Genomic DNA, 12,476 nt, shown 5'->3' with positions numbered 1-12,476 from the left:
ACTGTTGTGATTTTAGCTAATTAAGCTAAAATATAATCTGTGCTTCTCTATAAAAGGGGTGTAATATATTTTATTTTATTTTTCTCCAGAGGAGAAAAATTAGACATCTATAATGTTTTTCTGGACTTCATAAAGAAAACAAAGCTCAAAACTAAAGTATTGTGAGTGCAAATGTTTTACTAAAAAATGAGATTTTGAAAAAAAATATGCTTTTGTATTTTATTTTTAGTAGATTGGCCACCCTGTTTTATATAGCTCTATAATATGACTTTACATCTATCAAGGGTGAAAACAGAATGAATATGAGACACTTAAAGGAAATAAAATACTGTAATTTTGAAAGGCAAGAAATCTCACTAGAATAAGTTTGATAGTAGAACATTTTTAATTTAAAATACAATGCTAAAAGCTATTGTTATATGAAGATAAGAAATACCAGAGAAAAACAAAGCATGATACACATACAAAGCACAAAGGCCCTTTCTAGGTGGCAACTATTCTTTTTGATGTGCTTGAGGGTGAAATAAGATTTTTTTAAAAAAAGGAAATAATAATTATGCTATAGAAAAATCTAACATTTATTTTCTTAAATTGAATTTTGCCTTTAGAACCAATTTATTTAAAATTACCCCTAACAAAAATGCAGAATTATAGTTCAAGAAGACACTAAGTGATTTATTTAACTATACATTTTTTCCAAATCTCGAAACGATGGTATTTTATTTTAAACTAGCCTTCAAATCATGTTAGTTTTTTCACTGATATTTTAAAAGTGATGGGATTTGAGAATCATCCTAGCTCAAAGAATCTAGTTACTTACTGGTGCTCTCTTTGCTTAGTTGTCATAAAAAGCTAATAACGTCATATAAAAATATTCTGCCAAGTCAGTCTGAATGTCAGTCAATGTGTAAAATCTGAATACCAACAGGATAGCGTTGTATGAAAGAGATAATTATTAAAAATAAGTCAAGAACTTTATATTAATATTTTACTTACATATTCATATACCCAAATGCCATTTAGCATTTTTAATATTTTAATATTCAAAATAACTTTTCCAAAGGGCTTTCAAAATTAAAATGCTATTATTATCATAACTGAGATGCTTTTATAAACCAGAATTACTTATATGGCAGTTTAAACATCACAAAATGAAAAAGCAAGTGTTTTAAACTTTGGTTTCAATAAGATGAACTATAAATTGGTTCCAGGATTGGAAATATATTTAGAAATACAAGTAACATATTAATTATAACTAGGTAAACATAGGTATATTCCATTAAGTATTTACTATATGACACATGTTTCTCACTTAATCCACTCACAGTTCAGTAAAGTTGATGTTTCATGGTCAAGTACACTTGTCAGATTAAAAAATTATGCCTGTACTAAGTCCAGTTATCAATACAAAGGTTGCACAGTCAACAAGTGATAGTGTAGGCAGTGTAACGCGAAAACCCACATTGCTGGTCCCTGAGCTTTAACAAATATCCAAGTTAAAGTTGTTTCCAGTTACATATATCCGAGTCAAATATATTCCATATTACGTTGAAATTTAATATGAATTTATATCTTGCAAGGACATTAAAGATTCACAATTGAAAGTTCATTGAATGCCTCACCAATGGTGACAGCATGTTATACTAATGTACATGACTATCATCTGTAAAAAAATAAAATAATAAAAAAAATGTTAAATAGTTAAAGAATGTGATTAGTTATCTCACTAAATTTATTAAATGTATCCCAATCTATCCAAGTACTTATATTAAAATCATACCAAACTGCAGCTATGTCCTTTTGCTATGGTTGAGGACTAAAACCCATAAACTACACTAGAAACTTTGTCCTATTATGGATGGACCCAATATCTCCAGGAAGGGTTTGAAGTGATATGAAAATAACTAGGATTTCAGATTTCAAAAAGTGCTATATGAGGGATGTCTAAATTTTCCAGGGCCTAGTAAAAATCATTTATCCAGGATAAATCTCAAGGAATTTATCCATTTCTTCTAGATTTTCTAGTTTATTTGTGTAGAGGTGTTTATGGTATTCTCTGATGGTAGTTTGTATTTCTGTAGGATCGGTGGTGATATCCCCTTTATCATTTTGTATTGCGTCTATTTGATTCTTCTCTCTTTTCTTCTTTATTAGTCTTGCTAGCAGTCTATCAATTTTGTTGATCCTTTCAAAAAACCAGCTGCTGGATTCATTAATTTTTGAAGGGTTTTTTGTGTCTCAATTTCCTTCAGTTCTGCTCTGATTTTAGTTATTTCTTGCCTTCTGCTAGTTTTTGAATGTGTTCGCTCTTGCTTTTCTAGTTCTTTTAATTGTGATGTTAGGGTGTCAATTTTAGATCTTTCATGCTTTCTCTTGTGGGCATTTAGTGCTATAAATTTCCCTCTACACACTGCTTTGAATGTGTCCCAGAGATTCTGGTATGTTGTGTCTTTGTTCTCGTTGGTTTCAAAGAACATCTTTATTCCAACGGCATACCAGGAGATTATATCCCGTACATTTTGGTATTTATCTTTCTAGTCTATCAATAGATGAGTAAATAGAGGTTAGATGGACAGATGGATGAAAGTGTAGAAGGGTGAATGGATGGGTAGATAAATAAAACTGCTTATTTCTTTTCCTTCCTTGTTTTTGACCTTAATTCTCTCTAATAATGCAAGAAGATTTCAGGCAAAGGTTTAATAAGACATAGTGAATCTCTCAGAGACATTTATGAAACATGCTTATGAGGTCATCAATTACTTTGGTCTACTCTATCTGGAAATAGAAAATATAGAAAATATTGTATAGAAATCCCAGCACTTTTGGAGGCCGAGGCGGGTGGATCACGAGATCAGGAATTCAAGACCAGCCTGACCAAGATGGTGAAACCCCGTCTCTTCTAAAAATATAAAAAATTAGCTGGGTGTGGTGGCAGGTGCCTTTAATCCCAGCTACTCGGGAGGCTGAGGCAGAAGAATCACTTGAACTTGGAAGGCGGAGACTGCAGTGAGCCGAGATTGCATCACTGCACTCCAGCCTGGGTGAAAGAGTGAGACTCCATCTCAAAAAAAAAAGAAAAGAAAAGAAAAGAAAATATTGTATAGAAAATAACAACACAGTCAGTAAAAGGAGTTAAAGGCTGTGGGACTTTTTTTTTTTTAATTATACTTTAAGTTTTAGGGTACATGTGCACAATGTGCAGGTTAGTTACATATGTATACATGTGCCATGTTGGTGCGCTGCACCCAGTAACTCGTCATTTAACATTAGGTATATCTCCAAATGCTATCCCTCCCCACTCCCCCAACCCCACAACAGGCCCCGGTATGTGATGTTCCCCTTCCTGTGTCCATGTGTTCTCATTGTTCAATTCCCACCTATGAGTGAGAACACGTGGTGTTCGGTTTTTTGTCCTTGCGACAGTTTGCTGTGAATGATGGTTTCCAGCTTCATCCATGTCCCTACAAAGGACATGAACTCATCATTTTTTTTTTTCTTTTGAGACGGAGTCTCACTCTGTCGCCCAGGCCGGACTGCAGACTGCAGTGGCGCAATCTCGGCTCACTGCAAGCTCCGCTTCCCGGGTTCACGCCATTCTCCTGCCTCAGCCTCCCCAGTAGCTGGGACTACAGGCGCCCGCCACCGCGCCCGGCTAATTTTTTGTATTTTTAGTAGAGACGGGGTTTCACCTTGTTAGTCAGGATGGTCTCGATCTCCTGACCTCATGATCCACCCGCCTCGGCCTCCCAAAGTGCTGGGATTACAGGCGTGAGCCACCGCGCCCAGCCGAACTCATCATTTTTTATGGCTGCATGGTATTCCATGGTGTATATGTGCCACATTTTCTTAATCCAGTCTATCATTGTTGGACATTTGGCTTGGATCCAAGTCTTTGCTATTGTGAATAGTGCTGCAATAAACATACGTGTGCATGTGTATTTATAGCAGCATGATTTATAATCCTTTGGGTATATACCCAGTGATGGGATGGCTGGGTCAAATGGTATTTCTAGTTCTAGATCCCTGAGGAATCACCACAGCAAAGCATACAATGTGATGGCTATTGTTTCAATTTAGTGAGCTTAAAGTATCAATCATTTATTTTACCTGAAGCTCTTGCCCCAGTCAAATGAGTAATCTACTTCTCTACATAAAACTGCTGTCTCTTACCATACACTATTGATTAATGATTGTTTACTTAGAGGAAAATGAAGGGATAATAGAGAGTGATCAGAGCTGAAGCAGACCCGCCTTCTAGAATCACACAGGTGAGCACCTAAGAAGACAGAAAAGAGATGGCAGCAGAGATTCAGTGGGGAGATCGAATCATCCTGTCAACAAATTAGCCCCATCTCAAGTCAAACAGCACCAGAAATCAAAGGTGAGTTTCAATAGGTATAAGTAACACTTAGAGGTCCAGGTGAGTAGGTAAAGAATGTCTTAAAGATATATTCATAGTTGATAAGGCCCTGTCTCAGGTCACTACATTGCTGAAAAGGAGGGCTGCCTATTCTAAATAGGCAAAATGAAAGACTATCATCTACTGAGGACATACCATGCTCCAGAAATCGTATCACCTACTATTATGTAGGTCATTTAATCTAATACTTAAACTATCATGAGATGTGTTTTCTTTTGTTTGGTCTGTCCAGGACATAGAACAACGTTCTGAGTATATTTGATGAATATTGCCAAATAAAAGGCTGAATGCCTGATATCAGTGGTAATTTTATTTGTACTATGCAATACTAAATAGTACAAGAACAGGGTCTTTAAAACAACGGTGCCAAAACTCAGAGACACCAGTGATGGAAACTTGAGCAGTACAATGTATAATTATTTAGCATCATTCCCTTTCTTTCTGGTAATAATACCCAGGCATTTTTTAAAGGAATCTTCCCCCAACCCTCTCCTTTCATTATCAGTTCAAACTTATCCCCACCTTTAGGGTAAGTTTTGATAGCTTTCTTGATACAGTGGTCATTCTCCCTGGTAACAGTTTTCAACTCTGGGGTAGCACTTAATTTGATTAGTCAATGCAACACAGGGAGGCATTTGCCTAAGCTTGCAGGAAAGAGAACTTACATTTTGTTTCTTTGAAAGATAATGGAAAGAGAGTCTCTTTTCCTAGAGAGCATTGTGAAAGCATATGATGTCTAAAATTGCTTCAGCCATTTTGCTACCATGAAAGAAGAACTGAGGATAATGCTGATACAAAAGACAGAAAACAGTTAAGATCAGGTATTTGGTAATATCTTTAAGGCAGCAAATCAAGCTTAACCTGCAGCTATTCCTACTTCTGATCTTTTTAATTAATTAATCCAATAATTTCATTTCATCTTTAAATCAAATTTTGTTGCATTTTCAGTCACTCGCAACATAAGGCATCCCAATTTATATTGGTAGCAGATGGGATGGCAGCATGGTTCAGGTGATAAATAGTCTTCAAAATGGCCGTCAGGAAATCATTTAATAAACCTCAGTCCACGAGGAGCTGAGATGAGGGTTCGAGATAAGATGAGGAAGGATTTCTAATCACCATGAGTTAAAGTGGTCCATAAATGAAAAAGGTGTAGAAGGAAATTAGGCAGACAGAAATTCTTTTTACTTTAATGTAAAAAAAATATAACTTGACACACTTGGGATAAAATTTATTAAGTGAAAGCATTTATACCTATCACATTATATCCTGGCATTATGAAATTTATAATGTATATACATTTTTACAATGATTAATGGAATATTCCTGTTTACCCTCACATATACTCTAGTAGAAGAAAATAAATTCACTACAAGTCAATAGCTAAAATAATTAACATGTTTCTATATAATACATAGAAATAAAAATATTATTGCATCAAGAACTATCTTCTCATCTATTGTCCTTATTTCCTTAAATTAAGCACTTAAATAGATTTAGTTTAATAGACTTAGTTTAATTCTAGAAGGTAACTTAGATAGACGTAGTTTAATTCTAGAAGGTAACTTAACCCCAGAAATATATTGTATCCATAAATATCTAATACAAATAGGAAAAGTACAAAAATCTCATAAATTACAAAGAAATCCAAATGAAGCAGACAAGTACATAAAGAGCTATATTAAAATATAATCAGAGCTGTTATTTATAAAAATGATGATATATTATTATATATGATTTATTAATATTAATCAGATATATAAACAAGGATGGAATGGCTAACACAGAAGGATAGTCACAAGGTCTTAACTGCATAAAGCAAGTTTCAGAATAGTCTTTATATGATCCTGACTGGGTGTGGAGGGATGGGGCTTGTAGGGATTTCTAAAAGGATAATGGTTATCCAAATTGTTAATAGGGTTTATCTGTTTTGGTATTTGAAAAGTGAAGTAAAGGGGAGCATGCATTACTCTATTAAAAAAAGAATAAACTCATTTTCATTTTAAAAGAAAAACACCCAATTAAACATCATTATCTCTAAATACAAAGCTGCCACAAGTTGTACGTAATTATGTATTATTTAGCAATTTTACCTGCAGTTAAAAGTTGTCATTATCATCAACTGCTTCATCCTAACCAAATAAATACTAACTTATGTTTTAAAATATTAACTCATCAATATTTTCAATACCAATATTATAACAACACAACCTTTCAAAATAGAATACCAAAAAACATACATTTGTATGGTAGAGTAAATCTTGCAGAGTGATGCTACCAGAATATAGTAGAATTTTACTCATTATCTCCAAATAATTTAAAAAAGAAAAACAAAACCAAAAAAGGTAAAAAAAAATTGTGTCCACATATAAATTTCATTTCAACTGCAGCTAGTAGTTTTGACATTGTACATTTGAAATTGATACCCCCTATCCATTTCTATAATACTCTTTAAATCTCCATTATATATAATATGTGCAGTCCAGGTGAAATTAAAGGTCACAGTTGTCAAGTAGAAAGGTCTACTTATATTTATACAAAACAGTTGCTGTTATAAATGATAATAAATACCAAAATGTCACTGATACAAATGATATTTTGAATGAATGCCAGTACTTAAATGCTCTTCCTCGAACCAAAATAAGTGTTTATCTATGCTGTGGAGCAAGTCTGAGGGGGAAAGACTGTGAGACACAGAGCACATTGCCTTGGAAAATTCCGAAGGGCATGAATTTTTTGCCAATCTGGGCAAGTCTGTGGCACACTGACAGGCAGGGCCTAAGATCAGGTGAAAGTAAATGGGCTCCTATAAATGTATGCATTTTGCACATCTCCACAGGGACATTTAGCCAGAATTCAACCTCACTTGATTATAGCTTGGAGCTTTTATAAACTTCCCCTTTTTTCCCCATTTTCCACCATATTTTCTTTCTTACATCTTCATAGAACATACAGTTTTATAGCCTAGCAGCTTGCCATTATTTTATGGTTTCCAATTGCTTTAATTCTTGCTAGTTGTTTTAAATTGCCCCCTTTTCAAACTTCAAGTGGATCCTTACTTCTTTTATCTTTAGTCTCCCTATTTCCAACAAGCCTTCTTTATCTTCTAATATATTTTTGTTTACTAGGCATATAAAGAAATCCCTAGTTGTCTTTATTTTTAAACTAAAAATAATTTTTTTGCCCTCAAGTTCAACTTTTTTATTTGCTGCCTTCTACTTTCAGGTTTTTAACCTCTCAATTTCTTTTATTTTAATACCTTTAATCTTTATTTCTTAAAGTGTGTCCCTGATTAAAATTTAAAGATGTTTTGTTTTATTACCATAACCAGGGACCCAGGTTTTAAATATCACCCTCTTTCTTTTTCTTCCTTCCCTCCACTTTCACTTCTTCATTCCTTCCCTCTCTACACACTGCCCTCTGGCAATGCATGCTAATCTAATTATGTTCTTGCTTAAGAAATTCCAAAATCTAATCTTGCTACAAACCAGGCATGGAGCCCCTGCATAGTCCTTCCGCTTAGCAAGAGTCACAAACAATCATTCCACCACTATTGGGGAGAGTGAAGATAATGCCAATCAGACTTCCAGACCAGCAATAACTCACAAGATAGCCACGAGAACAAGACACGCAGACCCTGCACCCTGCACCACTCCCACATGTCTGCCATACAAAGTTCCCCTTAAAAAATCCTATGGTAAACTGTAAAATTTAAGATGGTATTTTAGAGTACTAGTTCACTATGTTCTCAGTTTGCTGGCTTTCCAATTAAAACCTGCTTTTCCTCCCACTAACCCTCACCTTCTGTGTTTGGCTTTCAAGTGGTGAGGAGCTGAACCTGGGTCCGGTTACATTTCCACATTTTAATTTATTTAATTTTAAACTCTTAAACCTCTGTATTTTACCATTTCACTTTCATTTACCAATTTCCCTTTATTCCTTGTCACAAAATTGTTCTTGTTTAATGATTTATTTTTAAGGATAGTGCTAAGCTAAGGGAAAATTTCCTCCAAAGAAGAAAAGTTGGTAGCTTTGTCCCCCAGGTTTCCCTGTGTCATTCCTTATGAGCACAAGTGGGTCATTAGCCTTTTTATGAATACCTCTCCAAAAAGAAAAGGTTGATCTCACCTTAAAATATTGAAGTCACATTACAGGTTAAATCAGACCTGAAGGGCATGAGGGGTGGTGAGGAGCAATGGGGCTGTTGCTTCACTTCATCATCAAATGTTCTTCTAAAATGGTACCTTTTCAGTATTTTAAGGTAATATGCCAACATGACCTTTTATGGCAATGTCATAAAGATATCTAAAAGGAAGCACTGTGAAAACAAGATGGTGAGGCACATAAAGAAGGTAGGCAAAGAGCAAAACCCTACATCCCTCCTTTCTGAGGAAATCAACATTTCAATGTCTTCACCCATTGCTTAACTCATATATTCTCAATCAGAGCAAAGCTGCCCCAACAGAGGCAAAAAATTGATTCATGGGGGAGGTGAAACAATATTAGATATTAGAATGTTTTGTGGACTTCCAAAAGTCCAAGATACATAAACAGATACATAGTAATCGGTACTATTAAATTTTCATGATATATAGATGGGAATCAAGGGTAAATGTCTAAGGTTGAGAAACTGGCTAACTCATACTTATTAAGAAGAGTCTTTAAAACTCACCTATATTTGACCCTTCTGTTGTACATATGACTTGACTAGAAAATTCAGACTCACTGTTTTCTAGGAACTCATTCATTCATCAAGTCACTGTGTTTTAAGTGCCAACTATGTTGTCATAAGCTCTACTATGCTAGAATATGTAAAGAAGAGCCAGTTCTTTCCCAAAGAAGTTGATAGCCAGTAGGAGATTCAGATATTCAGATGGGAAAGTGGGCAACTGCTATATACTCCTCTGTAAAATGGATGAATAATAGTACCATATTAAAGAACTGTTCATAGGATTAAATGAGAAATTATGTGAAAAGCCTTTAACGTGATTGGTTCAACTTTTCAAAAAATGTTCATTGTGATCATCATTGTGGTAACATCATCCAAGATTTAAGCATAACTGTTTGCTGATCTCTTAATAGAAATTCATAAACTAATTCATAAATCACATTTTTATTTAGCCTATTATTTCAAAGTTTCTACTTTCATCTAAATGACTTTATAGTAGGGTGAACAAATAAAAAATAAAATATTTTTATTTATAAATGTGGTTCCTTGTATAAAAAGGAAATTTTGAGACAGGTGCAGTGGCTCATGCCTGTAATCCTAGCAATTTGGGAGGCTGAGGCAGAAGAATCGCTTGAGCCCAGGAATTTAAGATCAGCCTGGGAAACATGGCAAGACCCCATCTCTACAGAAAAAAAAAATTTTTTAAATAGCTGGTGCATGCCAGTGGTCTCAGCTACGGGGGAGGCTGAGACAGGAGGACTGCTTGATCCCTGGGGGTCCAGGCTGCACTGAGCCCTCTTCATGCCACTGCTCTCCAGCCTGAGTGACAGGATGAGATTCTGTCTCAAAAAAGAACAGCAACAACAACAAAGATACAACGTTTGAATTTTTTTTAAAGGTTTTACTTACTATGTCCTATTCCAGAATAAAAGCCACTATTTAAATTAAAAAATCACTTTGGAAATAGCTAAATAAAAATAAATGTATGTAATTCTTAAACCACTTTGGTTAATAGCCTAAGACATCATTTGATTGGGCTAATTCAGTATCTAAATCTGTTAATTAACAATTTTCAGGAATTTTTTGTTGGCTTGTTTTTTAAAAAGAAAAATAAGTAAATAGCAATATGACTAGCAGTAAAGATTAAAATCGATAAAATTACTTTTCTAGAACAACTAAGCTTTAGTATATAGTAAGTCCAATATCTATTTTTAATATCTACATAAACATCACAAATAAATGTACATTCTCTGCCAAGCACAAAAAGGAAAAGTATACTCTATTGTCATGTAATAAACAACTAGACTTAAATGTACTACAACATTTTGCACAAAAGGAGAAAAAGTCTCAAAATTATCACTAAGAAATTACGGTAGTTATTTCCCAATCATTCTGTTTAAATACACAGAGCAGGTCTTAAGACATACTAATTCAGCTTCCTCTGAAGAGAATTTCTGGCATTATCATGTCAGTTCCCTGATAGTGTTTTGCATAAGAAAATATTAGGAAGAAAAGCTAGAAAATTTGGACATAGACGTATATTTTTTTCACCAAGTGCTGTTATTTCAGTTTCCTTAAGCATAAATGTAAAACAAATGCAGGTAAATTCTTTCTATTCCTAGATCACAATTTCTCAGGCAGTTAATATTATCAGCTTAATAAATGTTCAATATTATTACTAAAGCAAGGAAAATGATACCTAATATCAACAATTTGTTAGGCTTCTTGAGAAGTTGTTATTAGCCCAATTTAACATAACAAAATGAAAGTTATAAAACTTGTCAATGGCATCTGCAAGAATTATTGCAGAAACAAGTTACCTTAAAAGATTTAGTCTAGAATTCCCTATTGAGATCAGGAATGTGCAGTCCATGGCCATTCCACACTCAACATGCCCTAACTTGTCAAAACTTGGAAGCTAACCAGGGTTAGACCTGGTGAGTACTTGGATAGGAGATTAGAAATATACAGGTACTTTTTCCCCTCTGGGAACGGTCTCTACCCTCACCAAGAATTACCCATGTGTTTGTATACCATAAAACATATTATCTCATTACTCATGACCTACACAGTTTCAACTTTCTTATCCCTTTCCTGATATTGCTTTGCCGTGATTAGGGGCTAGAGCTGTTTGGACACTAGGAGGCCCAAGTCCTTGCTCGGGCACCTTTTAATTCCTTCTGAAGAAAATATGCAAAAAGAACTCTGGGTAAATGCAAACTAGTTTATCTCCGCTCTCAAATATGACAGCTGGACTCCTTCAACCTATTACCTACCACCCCACTCTAAGGCCTAAAATAACATTGGTCGTTCTCTGTCCTTTTCTTCTAGGCCCATAGTCAATAATTGGATCTCTAGGTTGTACTAGTGTAATGATAAAAAGAAGCACAGAAATAAATCTCTGTCTCTCTCTCTCACTTACCATTTAATTCCTAATGTTTAGAACACAAGGTAGGAATTGAGTATACAACCATTGAATGCGTGAAGAAAACCAAGGGGAAATAACTGGGTTTTTCTCGATTCAAGACCACTTTTCTCCTCTCACATAAAGTTGCAAGTTTTAGCGATATGACCCAATTATATTCTTGGCCTTGACCAAATCAATTATCTTCCTCCTATTGGTGGTCTTATTGAAAAAGGGAGGAGATTTTGACTACATTTTACTCCATATCTGTGACATTCATATATCAAATGTACCTGAAATGCCTAGTTTTCCTTTCATATACTCTTCATCAATTGAAAAGTCCTAAGCCCATGGATTCAATCCAGAATACACAATATACTCTAAATTTATATTTGTTACTGAGTTTCCCCATGAAAGCATTCTGTGGGTTTGTCAGGTGTATCCTCATTCCCCAAATGGAGAATGATATGAAATACAGGTGCCAAAAGAATCTGATTGGACAGTTAAAGAATAGAACTGGGAGATTATGGAGTGAAAACCCAGGTGTCAGTTTAGCAAGCTCAAGTTTAAAGGTTAACTGGCTGTCAAAATTTAGAATCGAGAAGGCCAAATAGATGAGGAAAAAGCAGAAGATTCAAGAATCCAGTGAAAGTCTTAGGAATACTAAAGAAACCAGTGTCTGGAAACAGGGACAAGAAAGTCCGTATGAGAATTGGGGGATGACTGTTGAGAAAACAGACAAGCAAGAGTAAGAAACCTAGAATTCTGAGAGAATAAGGCAGGCTGAAAAAAAGGGATCCTCTTTTGTGCTTTCTGAAAAGGGCAAGAGAATTTGGTCATGAGCATATGACAGAAGTAACTCTAATTATTACGAGAGTAGTGTTTATAGCTACCCTATATGCACAGAGAATGCCAGTTATGGTTATGATAATGAGTAGGAAAATTATACCACAGGCATTCATATAAATTTCTTGACATTCAAG

The 12,476-nt window shown here is 34.8% G+C and overlaps 1 protein-coding gene across 20 annotated transcripts in view; it reads right to left on the bottom strand.

Moving 5' to 3' along the window:
* Window positions 1-12,476, bottom strand: part of SPAG16 (sperm associated antigen 16) — a 1,126,038-nt gene that overhangs the window by 898,423 nt on the left and 215,139 nt on the right. Inside the window, exon 11 of one of the 20 annotated variants that reach the window (XM_011511829.3) lies at window positions 5,635-8,738. The exons of the other annotated variants lie outside the window; for them this stretch is intronic. Within the exon in view, the coding sequence (XP_011510131.1) occupies window positions 8,726-8,738 (13 nt within the window). The 3' untranslated portion in view covers window positions 5,635-8,725. Of the gene's footprint in view, window positions 1-5,634; window positions 8,739-12,476 lie in introns of those variants that run through there. 20 annotated transcript variants of the gene reach the window in all.

This window comes from Homo sapiens, chromosome 2 (genome assembly GCF_000001405.40).
Source record: "Homo sapiens chromosome 2, GRCh38.p14 Primary Assembly".
Classification (NCBI taxonomy): domain Eukaryota; kingdom Metazoa; phylum Chordata; class Mammalia; order Primates; family Hominidae; genus Homo; species Homo sapiens.
This window is presented reverse-complemented; position numbering and strand designations above follow the sequence as displayed.